This window comes from Homo sapiens, chromosome 9, assembly GCF_000001405.40.
Source record: "Homo sapiens chromosome 9, GRCh38.p14 Primary Assembly".
NCBI classification, from domain to species: domain Eukaryota; kingdom Metazoa; phylum Chordata; class Mammalia; order Primates; family Hominidae; genus Homo; species Homo sapiens.
In genome coordinates this window covers 114,194,761-114,216,781 of record NC_000009.12, presented here as the reverse complement: position 1 = coordinate 114,216,781, position 22,021 = coordinate 114,194,761, and the positions used below count along the sequence as shown (strand labels likewise).

Genomic DNA, 22,021 nt, shown 5'->3' with positions numbered 1-22,021 from the left:
CATCTTCAATCTCCCTTCCAATGGAGGGGTCAAGCAGATGACCTCTAGGAATCTAGGGTTTGTAATTAAGAGCACAGTGGTTGGAAAAAAGAGCTTTAAAGGTGCTGGAACAAATCTCTGATTGGAACAATCACAGATGGTCTAAGGATGAAAGGACCCGAGACGTTCTTGATGTTCACCACCTCATTACACCAATGGGGAGACTGCAGCCCAGAACACACCCAAGACCCCCTCACCCACTACCTTGCCTCATCCCTCCGCTACTAAGTGGCAGAGCCATTTCCAGCAGTCACCCCAGAGCTCCCTGGGTCTTAGGGTGGCGGCTGCTGAGCTGGAATGTATAGCCCCCACTTCAACCCCATCTGCTTCCCTCTCTCTGGCCATGCCTGCATGTGTAAGGCGACCACATGGCATGCATGCCCAGCCTGGCCAGCAGCAGGGACCTTCCTCCACATGCCCGAGCTCCTGGCTGCAGCAGGCTGGCCCCAGGCCCAAGGAATGAGCTTGGCTCCCTGCCAGGGCCCCAGCCACGTGGTTTCTCTACTTTCCCAGGTCGGGCCCCTCTGGAGAACTGAACACTTCATACTTGGAGCAGAACAAGGCCCAAGAGGAGATAGAACAAGGCTAAGGAGTGAGACTCTGCATTCTCTCTTGGCCACAACAACTCAGAGGAATAGAGCTGAGGACAGGGACGGTCCTCGCCACCACATCCAAAGCAGGATGCCAAGGAGAACTCAGAAGGCCATCTCCTCCACTCTTCTGCCTCCAGGAAGTGTCCACCCCAACCGTGTGCTCCAGCGGGTAGGATACAGGGGCAGAGAAGCAAGAAACATCTAGAATCCAAAGTCCCCCTCATGCTCCTAAGGCTCAGGTCCCTGGCCTGCAAAACAGTCAGCACTGTCCCACTCACCTGGCAGGGCTGGGCTGAAGAAACGGTGAGATGTTTCTAATGCAGCCCCTGGTCAACTCTAATGTGCCATCACTACACTAGTTAGGGTTTATATCAAGAGTGGGAATATTTAATAACCTCTAGGAGAAGCCCGCAAAAGGATCTTGGAGAACTTCTTACCAGGTGGACATTCTCCAAGGCCTGGAAGTTCCTGCTTAAGTCTAACCTGCATCCTTCCTGCTGCACTCGAAGCAGCCATATTCTTTTCTAGGTGTGCAGGCTCCAAGCGTGCTGACATGGAAAGACCCCTGAACTTTCCCAGCCCCTTTCTCTCGTGGTCTAAACATGTTTTTACCCTGCCCTCCTGAAATCCACTAGGAAATCTACTCAAGAAAAGTCGCCTCAGGGGACAAGGAGAAAATAGGAAGGCAGAGTTCTCTCCAGGATTCCAGGGGCACCAACAGCCTGGGTCAGCTCTGGTTCACATCTGGGTCACTGGAGACCACACCCCCAGCTCACAGCATCACCTCAGCTGAGAACCTTAATCTGCTTTGGCCTCAATTTCCCTACTTGGAAATAGGAATTCTCTGTTACTTGGCTGCTTGCTGCCTGTAATCTGAGAACTGGAAAGAGCCATGAACTTGAAGCCCAAATGCACTGTGTTAGAAGCCCTGCCTCCTCCCAGAGGACTGCGCGGCCTTGGGCAGGTCCCAGTCATCCCTGAACCACACCCCAGGGAGTCGGTGCCAGGGCTGGGCCCTTCCAGCTCTAAGCTTTAGGGTCTTCCCTCCGGACTCACTGCATGAGGCCAGCCTTGGCAGTCCTGGCCAGGGGCTGTGAGTAAAGCTGTGCATGGTGGCCTGCCTTGCAGGGCCATCCCAGCAGGCTTGAAAGTACATTTGGAGAAGACAGGTAGAAGGACTCACTGCAGCATCTTCCTAGCCTGCTCGTAGAGACCCTTGGCTGGGAAACATGGCTCAGTCTCTCACTGTGAGTGATACTGAGCCATGCCCAACAAGCCAGGACAGGCCAGGAGAAAGCCATTCAGCTCCAGCCAAGTTGGTAACATTTTCCACCTGGACCCCTCGCCAGAAAACCACAACACGTTCTCTTAGCAGGAGGTATGAGGAGGGATGAGAGCTGTGGACCAAGCTTTCCTCTGGAGGTTGAAGATGGGAGCAGAGAGAAGAGGGAGCCATGTGGAGAGTACCTTGCCCTGGAAAGCAAGTGTTCTGGATTCAAGTCTTGACTTTGCCAACAACTTGCTGTGAGATCTTAGGCAAGTGTCTTGCCCTCCCTGGGCTATGTCTGCTTATCTGTCTGAAAAAGAGTTTGGGCCAGGCCATCACGAAGGTTCCTATAGCTCTGATGTGCTTTGACCTCCACTGTCTCTTCCTCAGCTCCCGTTAGTAAAAGACTCTGACACATCACCCTTCCAAACTGGATACTGAGGAGGCCGCATGCACGGGCCCAAGGTTTTGCCTGCTGGGGAAAGACTGACTACAGCAAAATCATCACCAGCCCTGCCAGAAATGACGCCAGCTGCAATCTGGCATGAAGGAATTCAGCTCATTCCCCTGTCACTTCCTTTTCTTAATAAGTGCCTAGAAACTGTCTGGCCTAAAGCTTGGATAAGGAGGAAAAACCATTCACGACAGGAGCCCCCAACCCTACCAGACAGATCAAGGGGTTGGGAGCAACAGCAACAGAGGGATGGCCCTAAAGACTGTCCAGGGTCTTTAGGCTGAGAGGCATGGCAGACTCAGAGGCCCAGCGGAGACAGAGACCAAGCTGTAGGGACTCAGCCGATGTGAAGTCCCATTACGTACACATTAAATCATATCTGATGCAGATCTCGCCGATTTGCTGGCCATGGTGGCTGGAACAGAGTTGAGGGTATTTTCATGGCTCTCAAGGGTATTGCACAGGTCTAGGGCTGAAAAGATGTTTCCCTCCACCCACATCTGACACCCCAGTGCCAGGGAACAACACGCCTGTCATGAAGATCAGAGCCTAGTCTTAGAAAGTTAAAGGCAAGAAGCAAGGAAGCAGACAGAAGTTCTCAGTCTGGCAAGGCTCAGAGTGTCTATGGACAAATGGCTTTGACAGTCTAAGCCTCAGTTTTCTCATCTGGAAAATGGGGATAATCGATCTTGCCTTAAAGGTTCACTGGGAGAATCGCATGTGGTTCAAATACTATGCACACCGAGGGCCTCAATACTCGTTGCTTCCTTTCACTTGCAGGGGACTTAGGGTGGCAACCATGCCTTCTTCTGGTTATTCATCGTGTTTATTGATTGTCTCTACCCTTAAAATTTGAGCTTCATGACAACAGAGATTTTTGTCTGTTTTGGCTACAGTGTTATCCTTAGTGCCTGGCATAGAGTAATATATTCAACAAATAATCTTTGGTTGAATGAGGAATGAATGAGTGGCCTTATCTCACACAGGCAGGATAATGGGACCTCAAACCTGGGACTGCCTTCTCAGCCAGGCCATGAACAGGGTAACTTTGTGCTCCAAGAAGAACACAGGTACATGGCAGGGAGAAGGTGGATGAAGGGGCCGCCAGGAGGGGAGATGAGGAGGATGCAGAGGATGGAGTAGAAGGGGGAAACTGAGGCATGGCCCTGCTGACATTCCTTGCTGTGTCCGGTTGGAGAAGAGGCCATAACATGTCCAGGCTTTCATGGGTCTTACCTCTTCCATGCTCAGGAGACTCCGTACCCCAAGCTCTAAACAGCTACACTCTGGCACTGGAGTTGAAAGCTCTGGTTGTGTTCTAATCCAACTGTGACACTGAGCAGCCATGTGACCTTGACCTAATCATTTACCTCTCCGAGAAGCGATCTCATCTGTAAAGGAGCAACGCCTGGCCCTTGGTAAGGCTCCCAGGATGTGTCTGAACAAATCCCCCAAAGGTGGCCCTGGAGGCTGGCCTGAGTGTTGGGGCAGGGCCCAGCTGAGATCGCCTAAGCAAGTCAAATCCTCCCACTCTGCAACTTAAACCATGGGAAACCAGACCCAGCAAAGGTGAAGTCATTGGCTTAGTGTCACACAATACAGAGATCCCCTCAGCCATCCAGGAAACCTTATTCCGGGCGGCTCTATTTATTGAGCACTTACTATGTGACAAGCACAATGGTCTTATGAGCCATACTATTGTCCCCATTTCTCGGAAGAGAAAACTGTGGTTCAGAAAATTTGAACCAAGCCTGCTCCTTCCCCAGGGCCTTTGCCTGGAAAGGCACACAGCTTCCACGCTTACCTCATTGAGATTCTTCATAAAGCGAGGGAGACTTTCTGGACTAACTTATTCAAGATCCCAACCCTCAAGTACTCCCTGTCTCCCTATCCTACTCTCTCTTAGATTCAGCACTACCTAACCTTCATTTAATTGTTCATTCTTCCATTTCCCCATTCAGTGATTGGGTATCTGTCTGTCTGCCCCAAGAGAGTGGGAACTTTGTCTTATCCACTGCTCTGCCAGAACAAAGCAAAATGCTTGGCCCATAGCAGGCATTCAACAGATATTCATGGGATGAACAGATAATCACTGGATGAACAAATCTCCTTGCCTGAGGTCATGCTGGCTTGAGGGACAACCCCATGTGCCAGCCCAGCCCTCTCAGACTCCAGGTCCTTGCCCTGAAGCTGGGAGCATCAGGTGCTGCTCCTTGCCCAGGTCTAGGTGTCAGGTGTTGGACCTTAGAGAAGACTGCCTGTTCGGGCCACAGAGGGGTCTAGGTTGGGGGTGGAGGGACCTCCTCTGTCAGCTCTTTGAGGCTTTTTTCTTTTCTTTGTTTTTCCTCTTTGGCCCCCAGAGGGCCCAGGTTAAACGCTCCAACAGCTAACATGCCCATCAGTGGCAGAAGCACGGAGAGGCCCCTCTGAGCACTCTCGAATGCTCCAGGCCTCCTCTTCATACTCCCTTCCTCACCAACCACCAGCGATGGGAGGCCCAGACTTGGTCTGACCATGGTTCCAAGTCAAGGAGTCAACCTGCAGGGCAGTGGCAGAGGGACCCTGGTATCTCATTCTGCCTCTCAGAGCCTCAGTTTCCCGCTTCTCAATAATTGGAATGAATGATCTTCCTTCCAGGCGAAGAGTCTAGGGAACCTATTTTTATAATATGACTGCCAACTAGGGACCCTGAGAGGCTGCCTCAAGCAGCCACTGAGATCAAAGACACCGGGAACAAACCAACTGAGTTCCAATCCTGGCTGCATTGTTTACTCATCGTGCAAGTGACTTAATCTCTCCGTGCCTTGGCTCTTTCTCCATGTTCTGCACATGTCCAAACAAAGGGAAAAACAATTTCCTCCCATGATGGGGAGCCATAGAGAAAGCTGGTGAATTGGGGGTCACCGCTGAGCCCCTCTTTCGGTCATGCCTGCTGTGGGCACTGCCCATAAACCCCATTGTCCTCTGGCTTTGCGTGTGCATGAGCAAACTGGACAGAGCCGGATGACACCAAGACGATGTGGAGACTGAGTGTTCCCTGAGATGGGAGCAGAGTCACCTGGTCTAGCCAAGGTCCCCCGGTCACAGCAGACCCACAGACACAAATACCTTAGACAGAAGCCCCCAGACACAGAACTGCACTGGAGAGCCACTGATGCCCACAGGGAGACAGGAGCTACCCCAGAGGGGTCCAGAGCCCATGGAAGCCCCAGCCCCAGCCAGGCCCCAGTCACGCCGTGTGCCAGCAGCAGGTCCTGTGGCCAGACAACCCCACATGCGGCCCCCACACTCAAAGCAGGGGGAGAAGCAGAAGATGCCAGGCAGCAGGTGGCCAGGGCAGCGTGGCCGTGGGAGGTGGGGTTCCCCGCTAGAGTCTGCGTAATAGACACGGAAAATCTTTACCGGCATACCCATCTTGCCCCTCTTGCCAGGAACGCCAGGCAGGCCCTGCAGGGGAGAGACAGGGGAGAGGTCAGGGCAGGATGCCAGCAGGGACAGCCAGGCTTGCCCCAAACCAGCCCAGAGCCACCCACGGCAGGAAGTCACAGAGGGCCTGGAATGTGTGCCACTTGCGTGGCGGCCCCAGTGACATGCACATCAGACGGATGGCAGGGTCGGGGTCTGTGGTGACCTAAGAGACAGAGAAATGCCAGTTCCTGTAATCAGCAGGTGCTTCATAAATGCTCAGGCTCCAGCTGTCCTAAGGTTCTCTATACCCAGCTTATGGAGGTTACAAGTGAGTTCCCATAGATACGGGCTCAGGTTGGGAGGGGGCGGGGAGGAAGATCCCGAGGCCACCACCCCAGGGGCTTCTAATGGACCTCCAGGCTGGGCCAGGGGTCTGTGAGAAGCTCCCACACCATCTTTTGGACTCCTCTGACTTAGATACTTGGTCTGGAAGGACAGGGTGTCTTAGGAAATCTTAGCACCCACTGCCCACCACCAAACCAGTCCCACCACCTTCCCCAGACAGCCGCTCCCCCTGGCTGCTGGAACTCCTGCCACCTGCTCTTGCTGTCCCCACCCCCAACCAACACATTTTACTCAAGTAAACCAACTGATCTGTCTAAAAGAGGAATCAGCAGATGGTTTCTGGAAAGGGGCAGATAGTGAATATCTTTGGCTCTGTGGGCCATACGGTCTCTGTCACACCTACTCAACTCTGCCATTGTAGTGAGAAAGCGGCATTGACAATATGTAACCAAATGAGCAAGGCTGAGTTCAATAAAACTGTTTGCAAAAACAGACAACTGGCTGGATTTGGCCCATGGGCCACCGTTTGCAGACCCCTGATCTATATTATAAAGTGGGCCCGGTGTTCATTGGTTGCAAGTCCTCAAGAGGCTCCGCATACCCTCAGAACAGAGTTCCTTTTCTAACCTTAGTCCTGGGCACCTAAGACATTGCCCCAGGGTCCTCTCCAGCCTCAACTCCCACCACTCTCACCCTCTCACGCAGCACTTTGGCAGTGTTGAGTGTTAAACTCGCCAAGTTACCGTAAATCCCTGACTTCGCACATGCTGTTCCCTATGCCTGGAATGCATCTGCCTTGACTTGTCCCCTTATCAGACTCCTACTCGACTCAAGTGCACCTCCTCCAGGAGGAATTCCTTGACTTCCCCAGGCTGGTGCCTGGCAGGTTCTGCTCTGTTTGGGCAGGGGTGGCTGTGGATGGTGAATAACCAAAGAAGCAAACTTACTCGTTCTCCATCAGACCCTGGCAGGCCGAAGAGCCCTGGGAGCCCAATGTAGCCCTAGGAAAGAGAAGAAAGGGGGTCAGAGCGGTCAAGCAGTGAGGTGTGGCTGGCCCAACCTGCCGCAGCCCACCCACCACTGCCATCCCACATCCCGGCTCCTCCTCTTCCTCCCTGGTGGCAGTGGCAGCTCCGGTGGCTCCTCGATGACATAGGCCTTGAGGCAAGTGTATATGCCCATGGACTGCATGGTGCTGGCTTCCACGATGTAGTCCAAAGGCACATACCCTCACGCCAGGGAAGGGCGCAGGCGCTCGCCGGCAGGAGGCCCGCCCCACGCCAGGGCTCCAGGACCTGCAGAAGGAAGCTCGCGGCTGGGTTAGATGCTAGCACGGCACCAAGCCCTGCCCACCCCCAGGGATGCTGGTAGGTGCCCGTGGCTCCTGCCATGGCTCCTCCTAGGCCTTCAAGGTCCTGGATGTAGGGCTTACATCCACCTCTGGCCGCCTGAGTGCTGGCATTAACTAACAGCGGCTGCGAACCCGGAGTGCCAACATTGTGCCAGGCACATGCATGCTACCACATTAGACTCTCACAAGGACCCCCCAGATTGTCACCACCCACACTGGACAGACAAAGAAACTGAGGCTCTGTAGATAAAGCAACACGACTAGTCAGTAGTGGAGCTGTGAATTCTCTTCGGGAATTCCTAATCAGTTCAAGGGTCACCCAGGGCCAGCTGACTCCACAGCTGGGGCTCGTCACCATTCTGGGGCTCTTCCCTAGGATGCATCTCATTTCCTCCCTCCCAGCCTTTCCTCACTCTGTCCCCTCCACCAGGCATGTCCTTCCCATCCCTCATGACTTCTGAGCCAAATCCTTCAAAGCCCAGCTCTCATAAGCGCTCTCCTTGGGCAAGCATCCCTGATACCCCAAGCCGGAAGCAATCTCTCCCCCCCATCCCCAGTGCCATTTTTGCACCTCGGTAGCATCCTTCTCCACTTTCTCCCTTGTATCTTCATTATTTGTGTTCATGCTTCACGTCCTCATTAGCCTGGGAACTTCTAAAGGGCAGTAACCTCGCCCGGGGCTTCTACCACTATCTGCGTGCCACTCTTGGTGGAATGATTTAATAATAACTCTAACAAAAGCTAATGTTTATTGAGCACGAATGATAGGCCAGGCCTGCTGCCAGTGCTTTGCATATATTAAAGCATTTATTCCATCCTTATCACACCCCGAGGAAGTATTATATTTTATTATTTTTTTATTTATATATATTTTTTGAGACGGAGTCTTGCTCTGTCATCCAGGCTGGAGTGCAGTGGTGCGATCGTGGCTTACTGCAACCTCTGCTTACCGGGTTCAAGCGATTCTCCTGCCTCAGTCTCCTGAATAGCTGATCACAGGTGATCACAGGTGTGCACCACCACGCCCAGCTAATTTTTGTAGTTACTTTAGTAGAGACGGGGTTTCGCTATGTTGACCAGGCTGGTCTCGAACTCCTGGCCTCAGGTGATCCACCCGCCTTGGCCTCCCAAAATGCTGGGATTACAGGCACGAGCCACCGCGCCCAGCCCTGAGGAAGTATTATTACTCAGCCCCCTGTAGAGGTAAGACCATTTAGGCCCAGAGGGGTGAAGCAACTTGCCTAGGACCAAACAGCTGAAATGTGGTAGAACTGGTATTCAAATTCAAGTCTTCTGACTCCTGGGCCTGGGCTCCTAACCACTCTGCATACTGCCTCTCCTCAAACAAGCAACCAATGGAGGCTCACAACCATCTCTCCTTCCCTGGAAGGCCAAGAAGCCACTGAGCCTCCTCGTTGGCATCCAGCATGATTAATATCCATAATCTGAAAGAGTGCCATTTACTGCCATTCCAAATAGTGCTTATCTCCCAGATTTACAGGTGAGAAAATAATTGGCTCAGAGAGGCCCAGTGACTTGCCCAAGCTCCCACAGCTAGCTAATGGCAGGGCAGGTCTCAAAGCCTGTCATCCTGATTCCAAAGCCTGCCCTCTGCCTACTTCAGAAATATGAGGCTGGTGGTGGCAGGGTTGGAAGGGCAGCTTGAGTGACTCACTGCTCATCCAGGCTTCCCACCCAGGGCTGTGTGGCCTGTAAGAGACAGGAGTGCTGGGGCCAGACCAGTCCTCTCCTGCTATGTGACTTTGAGATGCCACCAGCCTGGCAGGCAAGTCGAGCAACCCCAGATGTCATTAACATGCCTGTCCTTCTGGCAGGTCAGGAGATCAGGACTGGGGCTGGACTGAGAAGACCTTTCTCCTTGGGTTTAGGGGGTCCCTCTGGGGGAATGGCCCATGGGAGCAGCAGAATAAAGGAAGAGAGGCACAGCACCCTGGGACAAGAGCCTCCTTAGGCCCTGCCTGTCACAGTAACCTCCTGGGGAATGCACCTCCCCGCCCCCACTCCCGCCTCCCCACACTCTCCTAACAGCCACCAGTCAGCTGCAGGGATTAGGGCTGAGACTGCAACTGTTCTGTCCTCTCCCTCCTGCCAAAATATAAATAGCTTTGGCTCAGGAGCAAAGGATACGTGATCTGTCCTGACCGAGGACTGTGTGACCCCCTTCCTGAGCATTCCTTGAGAGGCAGCAAGTCCAGGCCTCGGAAGACTTGGGTCCCCATCCCAGATCCGCCTTAGGCGTGCAGTGTAAGCTGGGGCCATCCAGGCCCCGCCATGAACCCAGTTTCTTTGTGTGTAAAAGAAACGATTCCACCACATCAGCTCTAAATCTTTCCAACTCCATTTACCCCATTCGGTCCACCCAGAACCCTCTCTGTCTTCCCACAACCCACATGGGAGTCCCCACCTGGTGGCCCCCTCCTGAGCTGTCAAGTCAGCTTGACATAACCAGACTAGAGGTACAAATGGACATCATGACCATTGTAGAGGTAGGCAACTGAGGCTGATCGCTACTCGGGGTCTGCTCCATGGGGGCCTTGAAGGAAGGGGAGATCTGGAAACTCCACCAGGCTGCAGGCTTGGGCAGCATTCCCACACCAGGTGCCCTCCACAAAGAGTGGTTCCCCCCAGCCCTCATTTGGGAGCAGGAGGGAGGCCTCTGAAGATTCGACGACAGGCAATTCAAGTGGCCCATACTGGCTCCCTTGTAACTTGGGATGAGCCAGGAGACACAGCAAACAAATGCCTAGCTGTTTGCAGCTGGACTGTGGCCAAACCCCCAGCAGAGTCTTTACTTCCCAGACTTCTTGGCCATGGGGACCAAGCAGTTTACCTGGCTCAAGGGTCTCCCATCACCCATCCCTCCTGCTGCCCCTCTGTTGTCCGGGAGCACTCAAGTGGGAGGGCCTTGGCTCTCCTTATAGCTCTGACCTCCCATCAAGCCCACTGGAGGGACAGGTGATGCTCACCTAGAACCCCACCCATGTGGCACTGGCCAGGAACCACTTACCCTGCTGCCTTTGGGGCCGGGATCTCCTACCGGTCCAGGTAACCCCTGAAACACAAAACACAGAGGGGCAAGGACATATGGAGACGCTCTACCTGCTGCCAATCCTGGGGCAAGTCCTGCCTCTTTGGGGCCTCTGCTGCTCTCTTTGTAGAATGGGGGTGGGGTTAGATCAGCGATCTTTGGCCTGACCCCCACAGCCCTAGGATCCCAGGGAGGTGGCTGGTGGGTAGGAGGGAGACTGAGTAGGAGGAGCCTCTGGAGCCCCAGCCCCGCAGAACCAGACCTCCTCTTACTATGCAGCCTTATCCTGTGCCTGCAAAGACAGGCTTCCTTGGTCCAGTCCCCTGGAAAGCCCCCTCCTTAGGGTCCACCCAGCAGGTGCAGCTCCTTGGCCCCCAGCCCACCACCTCCCTCTGCCTCGGGGCACCTGTGGCCATCTTCACATCACCATGGCCACAGAGCTTCCAGAAGCCATATACTGCACCTGCCTGCCAGGGTAACCTTTGGCCCCTGGGCTGCCCTCAGGTCCTGGCTGCCCCTGCAAAGGAACAGAGAGAAACATAAGGAAAAGAAAGACCCTGCCCAGCTCTGGGTCTGGGGGACCCTGGGAGACTGGGGCTGACAATGAATAAAGAGAGGGGCAGGAATGTGAGATGGAACAGGAGGAAGGGGAGGGCCCCCAAGCCCACCCCTCTGTGAAACCGGTCAGACCAGCTCTGAGGGACAAAACCCCCTCTGCTTGCAGCCCAGGAATAAGAAATTACTGAGGAGGCCTGGCTGGTTCTCCCATGCTGGCAGGGCTGCTGTTTCACTTGGGCCAGGCTGGCCAAAATTCCTGCAAACCCCGTGGCGGTGAGTATAATATCCCCTAACATCGCCCGGAACAGGCCAGCTATTCATGGCTCCAACTGGCGTTGTGCGGCTCATGCCAACATCAGGCTGGCATGGACTCTGGCTCTTTTGGGCAAATGTGGCTGGGCGAGAGAGGTGGGGTGGACTGGAGTGGGCTGGGGGCTCCAGCAGGGTGAGAGGCAAAACAGCCTGGCTCTGGGGCTGGCTCACAGAGCAGGATCTAGGGAGGGGGCCAGAGACAGGTAGGGGCTGGGAGGAGGGAGAGCGACCAGGGCAGGGCTGAGGCTGAGGCCCTCACCTGTTCTCCGGGGTGCCCTGCCGGTCCAGGATAGCCCTTGTGTCCCTGTTGGAGGGGGAAGAAGCTGCATCAGGCAGGGAGGACACATCTGGTCCTGGAGATCGCAAGGGCCCAGCCTCCCGGCCTGCCCTGTTCAGCACCGTATGTACTGCATCCGGGATGGAGTGTGCACTCAGTAAAGGTTCCCCAGATGGATGCAGATACCATGTGAGGGTTCACATATTCCTAAGGTTTTCTCTCTGCTCCCAGTGGTTCTTAGGCCAGAGGACATCAGGAGGGTCATTCACTGCTCTGGCAGAGTAGGTGAGCTGAACTGGGACAGAGCAACTGTGACCAAGAGATGGTGTATCGCAACCATTCCTTCTGAATCAAGAGAGAAGGCGAGACCGTCTCTCAGGGCTAGGATTTGTCAATGGAGGAGTAAACTGAGTAGGACTTGAGGTCTGGACTGTGCTGAGCCACCACGTCACACGGGATGCTGGGATTCCCTCCCCTTTCAAGACCTGCCCCTTCTCATAAAGCCCCCATCACACGCCTTGACCACATTTATTAACCCAAATAGTTGTTTCCCTTCTCCCACCGGCCCCAGCTCCTATTCCAGGGAGGGATAGGCCATCCAGATACTGATGAGAAGGACTCTGGCAACGCCCCAGTACCAACCTTGACCCTCTGTCCTGATGGCCAAAAGGCATGTCCAGGCCAGGCCTCTGAGTCGAGAGAACCAAGCTGACTGTGTGCTTTCAGGTGGCACCAGGTATAATCACCTGAGCCATTTCATAAGAGTAAGGTCTCCAAAGGAAACCTCAGACTTCAAGCTTCCATCAGATGGGGGGCTTCCATTGTGCACAGGGTAGCCACACTCATCCATGTTAGACCCTCTTACGCAGGGAGCTCTGGGCTTGCTTTAGATGCTGTCCCTAACTTATTATGCAACTTTGGGTGGGTTCCTACCCTTCTCTGAACTTCAGATAAGGGAGTTAGAACTCTTGAGTCCTCTTCAGCTATGATGTTTTAGAACCCTAGAATTTGAAGACTCCTCCAGAGTCTAAAATACACACACAAGACCAGAATACACACACGCGCACATGCACGCTCAAACCTGTAGACCCTCTCTATGTGCTGCCGTTTACCCAGGACTACGTGCATAATAGATGACTTCATCTACTCCTTCCAACAGTCAGATGAGCTGGGCTCGGGGGCGACTATCATCTCCATTTTACAGAGAACACTGAGTCTCATAGAACTGAAGACGCCTACTCTGAGTCCCATTGCTAACAAGCCACAGGCACTCACTACCAGATCCTTCTGACATCTGGGAACACGCTGGAAATCTTGCAAACATCTCCAGACATGTACAGCTCCATGCACTTACACAGACACACACAGGCATACACACTCAACACCCCCCATCAGCCCCCAGGAAGTGGGGACTCTTTATTATAAACAGCAGAGTCAGTTTGATCTAAGAGGTCTGGAGAGTTTACAAGCATTCTTTCTGCACCTATTCATGTCTCAAGAGCCCTCAGTGACATGATTGTATCTCAGATTCAGGGGCCTATGGAGATTGATGCAACAAGGTTGGGTGTGATTCTTCTAGCTGGGGCGTGTACTCTTTTCCCCAGTGGGCAAACCGGGGCATACAACCTCTTGTTTCAGACCCATCTGGATTCCAGTACTACTGTACTAACTGGCTGGCTGGGTGACCCAAAGCCAATGACTTCACCTCTGAGAATCTCATTTTCCTCAATTATAACATGGGGCTACAAAGTTGGAGCAGGGATGGCAGGATAGAAAGTGTGTAAAGCGCAGTATTTGGCATTGGATTCAAGGGCGCTGAAAAGGTTAGCTGCTGTTATCATAATCTTCATTTTTCATTCATTCATTCGATAAACATTTACCGAGTTTTCATGCTCCAGCACCATTCTAGGCACAGGAAGAATGAGACAGACAACATCCTTTGCCCTAAAGGAGTTTACATTCTAATTAAGGAGGTATAAAAACAAAGCAAACAAAAATAACATCTGGGCTGCAAGGAGAGAGGAATGGGGAGTTGCTTAATGGGTACAGTTTCAGTTTTGCAAGATGAAACATTTCTGGATATTGATTGCACAACAATGTGAATGTACCTAACGCTATCGAACTGTACACTTAAAATTGGTTAAGATGGTAATTTTATGTTATATGCTTTTTAACCACAATTAAAATAAAATCTTTTCAGAAACAGAGAGAAAATGTCTAGTAGTGATCAGTGCTGTGAAGAAAAGGAAGTAAAGTTACAGACAGAGAACACGGCATTGGGGAGGGATGGTGAAGAGAGGGTGGGATCAAGCAAAGGCTGCTCTAAGGAGATGAATGGGATGAACACAGGGCTGGCTCCATGGAGAAAGGCAGTGCAGGCAGAGGGAACAGCAAGTGCAAAGGCCCTGAGGCAAGAATGCCCTCAAGTGGCTTGGAGGGAACACAGGAAGGCCTGTATGACTGGAATAGAGTGGGTGAGAGGGTGAAGGATGGCGGTGGTTGGAGAAGCAGGAGGTCAGAGCATGCTGGCGGTGATATGATGCAAAACCACAGAAGCTCTTCGAGCAGGGAGGTAGCGCGACATGATGTAACTAACAGCCGTGATCATCATTTTTCCACCTGGAGCTTGCAGATTAGGAAGAACAAGTGAAACTTTTTCCCAGTGAAGAGCTGAATGGAGCCTTGCACTCTTGGTTATGTGACTCTGTATGAGTAATTATCCTCTCTGAAGCTCACTCTGCCGTATTCTACCTGCCTGCAAAGATCCAATGGAGTAACAGGGCAAGAACCCCAAGAGAACCATAATGTGGGGTCCAGGGGGCCCTTGGCCATCACCAGCTCCTGTGGCTTCATCTGCAGCCACAAGAACTCTGCTGAAAACCAATTCTTCAGCCCCCAAACCTCCCCACAAAGGAAGCAGAGGCATTTCTCCAGTGAAATCCCAGGAGAAGATTTCAAGTAAACCCTTTTACTCAGGATGCAGCTAAATGGAAGTGAATGATCATCACGGGCATGCACAGTGGCAGGCCCTATGCCTGGCTCAGCACTGAAGCCTTCACATATCAGTTCATGGACTCCTTGCTATCACTCCTAGGAGGCAGAAATTACCATACACATTTGCCAGTTGAGGAAACTGATGTTCAGAGGGGTAAAGAGACTTTGCTGAGGCCACACAGCTTTCTAGGGGCAGCGCCTGGCCTGTGACTCCAATCCCGCATCCTTAGCCATCAAAAAGCATGGGATGAAACATGCTCATTGAGGCCTAAGACCTGCCTAGAAGAGCCACAAAGCCACTCAAGGAGAGATCCCCTTATAGATGCGCCTCCCTGGGATGAAAGCTTCACATCATTGCAGCATTATTCAGGCAGAGGTCAGTCATGAAACCCTGGAGTAACTGAGTTGAAAGAGCCCCAAACCATTAGTTTGACAATCTCCTTTCTCACTGGACGGACTGAGAAACTGAAGCTCAGAGAGGGGAAGGGACTTGTCCAAAGTTACCTAGCAAGTTATGGCCAAGCCAGTACTTTTCCCTAGGACTCCAGACCCATTGGGATATACAATTTCTAGGTATCTCTTGATCAAGGGACCCTGAAGGGCCTTGAACATTGCCGTGAACACCCCAGTTTCTCCTGGATGGCCAGGAGCAGAAGAGCGAGCATAGCCAAGGCGGGAGGTAGGCGGTGGGAGGTGCTTATGCTCCCTGGAAGCATCTTAACAATGTTTACCAGCTGGGGCCAGCAAATAGCTTCAAATGACAGGGCCCCAGACCTGCAAGAATCTAAACCATTATCTTGTGCAGCGCCCCGCCAATTATGGGGCGGGTGCTGACCGCAAGAAGTGGGCCCGTGGGCAGTGACTTTCCAGTTTGCGATCGGTGCCTGACTGGCACTAAGGGAGAGGGAATGTTTCGGGGAGCTCCAGGGAACGTGGTGTCTGCAAGGGGCCTCTGGCTGCCCAGCAGGCGGGTCTCCACAGAACCTGTGTTTATAATAGAACTCGGTCTATATTTTGGTTTGGGAGCCAGATGAATCATTGCTTACAATGCGCAAGGAGAAACCAGACATCACCTCACTGTTGCTACAAACCGTCTCCCCGTCTGGCTGGGCTGCTTTCTGGGCTTTGGGCAGGGAGGGGAGGGGTCCCGTCCTTGCCTGGGGGTCCTAGGGACCCATATGTACTCAGACATCGGCTGTCCACCGAGGCTCCACCTCCGCCTGTGCAAGGCCTCAGCTCCCCTTGTAGTTGACATGAAACTCACCAAGCTTGCTTAGCTCTCCATGAATCTCTGCTGAACTTCGCTACCTCCCGGGCAGCCCACACCCCAGACTGGGCCATCAGCAGGACAGAAAGAATCAAAGAGTGAGAAACACATGCCTAGAGTAGAGGGTCTTATTATGTGATGCTGGACAAGGTGCCTCTCCGGGCCTCAGTTTCCCCAGCTGGCCTCTCCAAGTGTCCTGTGGGCTCAGAAATTGTAGGATTCCAAAGTCTGTGGCTAGTCAAAAAGCACAGTCCATCATGGCACAGCCAGGTGTCTGACACCCAACTCTGCTCCGTGGATGCCTGAGACGGCTCCAGGCAGGAAGGTATATTTTCTGCATGGCTCATTCATTCATCCAGTTATTCATTCATCAAACAAATGTCTGTTGAGTCCCAGCAATGACCAAGACCTTGTGTTAGGCACTAGAGATACACCAGTGAACAGAAAAAACTCTCTACCTTCTACAAGGGGATGTGGGCATTAAATGCATATTAGGTGGAATGAAGAAGAGTGCTAGAAGAATATAGATGCACCCAGCCAGAGGAGGTGACATTGTAAACTGAGGCTTGGGGGAGGAGCAGGACTTGGACAGGAGACACAGGATGGGATAGGAGGGATGCCAGTGGGTATGGGCTGCAGAAGCAGGGGAGCCTGGAGAAGTTTCTTGAGAGGAACTCTATGGAATTGGGGGTGCCACACTCAGGCAGAACCGGGAGTTCAGCAGAAAGGTGGGAAATTGTCTCAGGCAGCCTCCATCACATTTCCCCAGACACACTTCCAGATGACCCCTGTGCTCTCCCATTTTATTACAGCTTCCACGGATAATGGCCAACTCAGGCAGCATTCCTGCTAGGGGGCAGGGTGGGGGCAACAGGAGGGAGCTGGGGGGATGTCAGGCTGGAGAGAAGCAAGTCAGGTTTTGATTTGAGTAGCAGTTTTGTTCCATGCATCATGTCTATCTGGGGCAGTATGGTAAGAAAGATTCAGGGGCTGTGTCAGGACTTGGCCAGAAAGATCAATTCGTGAGGCTTGCCAGAGGTGAGGAGCGAGGGAGTTGAATGTGGTCAGCACTGCGCTAAGCCCCACGTGGGAAACAAAGATGAACAGGTTGGGTTCTGTCCACTGTCCAGTCTAAGCAATGTGTTGACACTAGTGGGTTGCCCACTAGCCCAAAGAGGCCGAGAAGGGAGGCCAAATGGTCAGGAAGTGAGGCGTCACTTCTGCCTGGAGGTGCTGGGGAGCGTTCTTGAAGAAGATGCTATTCTTCTCTAAGAACAGAACCAAGGAGTAGGCACATGAGGATGAGTGTGGAGGAGAGGGCATGCCTGGGGAGGGCACAGCAGAAGCAAACACAGGGAGGCAGGAAGGCCCAGGGTACACGGGATTGGATGGGGCCAGGGTTTCTACACAGCGGGGGCCAGGGAGGCAGGAAGGCCCAGGGTATATGGGATTGGATGGGGCCAGGGTTTCTATACAGCAAGGTTTCTCAACACTGACTTTGTGGGCTGAACACATCTTGTATGTGTATGGGAGGGAAGGGCTATCTCGTGCACTGCAGAATGTTTAGCAGTATTTCTGGCTTCTACTCATTAGAAGCCAGTAGCACCTCCCTCCCAGTTGTAGGTAATGGCCAAAAATATCTCCAGACACTGCCAACTGTTCCCTGGGGGGCAAAATCACCCCAAGTTGAGAACTACTGGTCTACAGGAAAGAAAGCAGGAGGGTTAGATGAGAGAAAGCATGGGAGGTGCACATGGAGTTCTGGCAGCCTTCTTGGCTAGTGGAGGGTGGTTAGCTGGAAACTAGCAAAATGACTAGTGCTACCAGATTGGCAAGACCTTCTTCAGATGCTTCTCTTCGTGATCATCATGATCATTATTTATTCATCACACAAATACATACAAAGTGCCAGCCGTGTGCCAGCCCTGTGCTGAGGGCAGGGATATTACATCTCATTTAATCCTCCCAACCACCTCATGAGGCAGCTGAGGCCCAGCAAGGTGAGGCAACTTGCCCAAGCTCACACAGCAGGAGAGGGACAGAGCGGGGATTCCATCCAGGTCTATCTGACCTGGTTTGCGTGTCTTCCCCACCTTGGGAACTGGCCCAGCAAATTCCTTCCACAAGTATCTCAGGCGGTGGCAGAGAAACAAACCTTCTCGGGCAGGCAGCCTCTTTTTTTACCAGATGGACACTGTCTTGTTTGAGAAACTGTTTCAATCAGCCTTGTGGTGACAGAAAGGGCCTGAGGGTCAGAAGACCTGGGTTCGAATCCTAGCCCTGCAGCTTAGAAACCCATGGAAGGTATTTCCATTAAATTGGTGCCTCTCATTCTTGACTGCATGTGGGAAACACCTGGAGGCCTTTTAGAGCTACTGATGCCTGAGTCCCACTCAGACCAGCTGAGCCAGAATCACCACGATGGGGCTTGAGCTCCCCAGCTGGGAGCCACTGCTGTAGACTGCACCCTCCAACCAAAACTCCCTTTCTCTTGCTAATTTTTCTCCATAGCCCTTTCTGTCTTATAGTGTACCTTTTATTTTTACTGTTTTTCTTTGTATCTTCTGTCTCCCCACACCCCCACAAGGATGCAGGCCCTGTGGGGCAGGGATTTTTGTCCATTCAGCTCAGTGGCTGGCACATTATAGGCATTCAATAATTCTTGTTAAATAAATGAATAAATAGGATTATCTGTGTTGCCTCAGAATGACAAAAATTCAATGTGCTGGTAAGCACGAAGAGGAAGCTAACCTCACCTCTTATCCACTCACTTCCCTTCTCCCCTCAAGGTTTCCCACAAGAAATAATGCAGAAAAGCCACACTGCAAGATCAGAGCCAAGTGGCTGCTATTGTCACCAAAGATGTGTGTGATAGGAAAGACCATCTACAATGGTGGCCCCAGGCACATTGCCCATGGCAGTGGTTCTCTTCTCTGATCCCCACCACTGGTCAGGGGTCTCTGCCTTGGGACCTGAGCTCCCCGACACTTCGCCCAGCACCCTCTGTAAGTGGGTGACGCCAGCCTGCCACAGACGAAACTCTTCTGTGCATGTCTAGGCCAGGGCCAGAGGGGAGCTCAGAGCAATTGGCTTTGCCAAATAGTTTTCCAGCTGCGCAGTGGCTTTTCCTTAACTTGGAGAAGCTGCCTCTCCCTGCTCAGGTGAGTTGGCTCCTCTTGGTTGGGGGTCCTTGGCCTCCCCGGACATCTGCTTAATGCAAGGAGCCCTGGCACCCCAGGGAGGAGCTGGTTCCAGTCTGGTTTCCCCATCTCCTGCCACCTCTGCTAGGCTGCCACCCCCATGCAGAACAAGACCACCCGAGGCTGCTTTATGAGCTGGGACCGGAAGGAGCCTTTTCCACTCACACCTCATCCATCAGAAAGCGCTAGAGCCCAGAGAGGAAGTAAGTGGGGAGCGCAAGTCCCTCTGTGTTCTGTGAGCCAGAAAGGACCATGTTTCCCAGCTCACAAACAGCCACTGCTTCTGGGGTGGGCCTCTCAGGTTGAAGGTATGGCCTGCTCTGGCCATGGAGAAGGGAATGGGGGAACGAGGTCCTGCAAGGCCCCCTGTGTCATGGGGCTCTCAAGGCAAGAACAGGATGGAGCTGGGAGACACCCCAGCTGTCCAGATGAGAGCCAGATGGCCTAGAGAGAGTTCAGCTGTGGCCACAGCTGGGAGCCAGGGCAGAAGCTTAAGACACAGTGGTAGGCCGATGGATTCACCAGACAATCCATCAGCGGTTGGGGATTTTCTTGGAAAAAGCAATCGATCCTTAGTCTGCATTGCCTTCCCCCCATTTCCTGAACACCTGCTATGCACAGGCTTCATGCTAGGCTCAGTAGGAAGAGCAATAAACCAGATTTGCACACCCTGGTTGGTGAGGCATGCCTGGTGGCTCAAAATAACTAAGCCAAGACAGCTTAAGTGTTCTTGAGCAGAGAGGAGCCTCATGGCCTGAAGCTGGGTGCTCCAGGAGGACTTCCTGGAGTAGGCACAACTAGAGTAGAGTCTTGAAGGAAGGGAGACACAGGCTGGAGGAGTCACAGAAATCCAGGGGGACTGTAAGTTACAGACCCACTACCCAGGAAATGCCAGTCTTTTCCTCACACAGGCGTTTGGACAGGTAACTCCCCCAGCATGGCTGAAATGGGGATGGGATGGGCGTGACATAACAACAGCCAGCAAGATAGAGAGAACCCACTGCCTCTCCAGATCATTCCCCTTCCCCTTCCCCTGCAGAGCATCAGCGAGGGCCGCATATTAGACTCTGAGAGCTCACTGACTTGCCCAAGGTCACCCAGCCAGGAAATGGCAGAAGCAGGAGTAGGACCCAGGTCCAACTGACCCCAGGGTCCACTCCCTCAACTTCTCCGCTCCAGGCCTTGCTCCTGGTCACACAGCCCCAGACTGTGCAGGGTCAGAGACGGGGATCATTGTCTCCATCTCATGTAGGAGGAGGCTGAGGGGCAGAGACAGGACTCGCAGGCCCACGGCCTCTCAGACAGTGGGTGGTGGAGCCAGGGCCAGCACAGGTTACTCCATCACCACAGGCTTTCTTGAAGGTGGCCTCCCTGGGAGCGGCTGGGCCCCCAAAAGGAAGGACAGCAAACCAAGGATACTTCCTATGCTACCTCATTAACCGTGGTGGGAGGCACCTACTACGAGCCGAGGTATTCCCTGCCCTCAACAGGCACAACCCTTGGAAAGCTCTCTCACCTCTCACCCATGTACCCTGTGCCCAGGGGAGCTGGGCTGGGGCTGGGGAGAGGCAGGTGGGCCCACAGCTCTTCTGCCTGAAGACCTGGCTTGCTAGGAGGCCCACTGCGCAAGGCAAAGCATCAAAACCAAACAGTACCTTTCGTCCCGGAGGTCCTGGATTCCCGGAGAGCCCAGGCAAGCCCATGTCACCCTGGAAGACACAGACAAGGTGGGTGAGGCAGGAAAACGGGAGCAGAGACACTCTGCTACACTCTACAAATTGGAATGGTAACTTCCAATGGCTGGTTGTTTCCAAATGAGATTCATAGAGAAGTAGAGGCCTCAGAGGAGACTCGGGGGCTGCCCAGCAAGAAGAGTGAGTGGTGTACCCAGCCCCTTCCCCACTCAACTCAGCGGCTCCATCTGATCTATTTTACATACTGGGCTTCAGCAGAAGACACCACTTGAAGAATGGGTTCCGATACTAAAACCACGTTTGAAAACTATGCTCCAGAGGACATGTGCCTTATCAGTCCCATATCAATCAGCCATCTCTCCCTGCAGTCCTAAGACACCTTCCATTGCTGGGCATGCCACTGGCCAAGCAGGGGGCATTTCTGCCACCACCCCAAGACCTGAGAACAGGCCACACAGGAGCAGGAGGGAAGCCTGGGCTCCTGGGTGCCGATCTCATTTTGCCACTTATCAGCTGCATGACCTCCAGCAAGCCACCCCTGCCTAGGCCTCCGTTTTCTCATTTGTAAGCTGGGCCCGTCTGTCCTGGCTCATGGGGTATGATGGGGGTCAAGTGGTAGTATATGGGAACACTCTCCTGGGACCCTGGGTCACCCAGTAAATATGTGCTAAGTGCAAACACCTAGCAGTGAGGATGTGAAGAAATAAGCAACTCGTGTCTTGGGGAAATCAAAGAAAGCAGCCAATTCTAGGTGCCTTTAAGCACAGGAGGCTGGGCTGAGAAGCAGTGTTCCATCCATCAGGATGGCTCTGGGGCTGTGTCCAGAAGGAAGTCAGGCAGACCTGGGCATTGCTTCCAGGGTGTGTGTGCCTGGAAGACTGACACACTGGACAATCTCATTTGGAGTTCTGGGCTCCCCTCTTCCCATCTGTCCTGCACTCCCTCCAAGTCCCTTGCTCAGTTTATGGGGTGGATGCTTCAGAGACGGATGAAGGCCTTTAGCCAAAGTGTTTTTCCTTCTGCAGGCAAGCCTGGTTTCATAGCCCTTCAGAGTTAGGGAGCCCTGAATCTCTAGCCTCCTAGAAATCCACAGACCCGTCTGCTGGAGTTAACCTCAGCAAAGGCTTTGAGTGTCTATTGGAAGCTTCCTGGCCATGTGCTACCAAGAAACTTCTGGATGCCCACAGTCACCTAGCAGACCCCGCAGAAAGCC

At 53.0% G+C, this 22,021-nt stretch overlaps 1 protein-coding gene and 1 non-coding gene across 15 annotated transcripts in view, besides 1 other annotated feature; both read right to left on the bottom strand.

The window, feature by feature from the left end:
* Window positions 1-22,021, bottom strand: part of COL27A1 (collagen type XXVII alpha 1 chain) — a 158,414-nt gene that overhangs the window by 95,730 nt on the left and 40,663 nt on the right. For 13 of the 14 annotated variants that reach the window (XR_929860.4, XM_011519138.3, XM_047423992.1 and 10 more), the window contains 6 exons: window positions 20,770-20,823; window positions 11,636-11,680; window positions 10,970-11,023; window positions 10,486-10,530; window positions 7,054-7,107; window positions 5,756-5,800 (listed from right to left, as the gene is read on the bottom strand). Coding sequence is in view for 13 of the 14 variants with exons in the window: in XM_011519138.3 (XP_011517440.1) it covers window positions 5,756-5,800; window positions 7,054-7,107; window positions 10,486-10,530; window positions 10,970-11,023; window positions 11,636-11,680; window positions 20,770-20,823 (297 nt within the window). In the remaining variant the exon portion in view is untranslated. Of the gene's footprint in view, window positions 1-5,755; window positions 5,801-7,053; window positions 7,108-10,485; window positions 10,532-10,969; window positions 11,024-11,635; window positions 11,681-20,769; window positions 20,824-22,021 lie in introns of those variants that run through there. The other variant, XM_006717310.4, reaches the window with a different exon arrangement.
* Window positions 406-906: an enhancer, noted in NCBI's record as "H3K4me1 hESC enhancer chr9:116978156-116978656 (GRCh37/hg19 assembly coordinates)". NCBI's record gives its function as "activates a minimal SCP1, AML or CMV promoter by ChIP-STARR-seq in primed H9 embryonic stem cells {active_cell/tissue: H9 hESC(primed)}" and the evidence as "EXISTENCE:reporter gene assay evidence [ECO:0000049][PMID:30033119]".
* Window positions 7,253-7,348, bottom strand: MIR455 (microRNA 455). The gene has a single exon (NR_030255.1). It is a non-coding gene; the product is annotated as a microRNA 455 (primary transcript).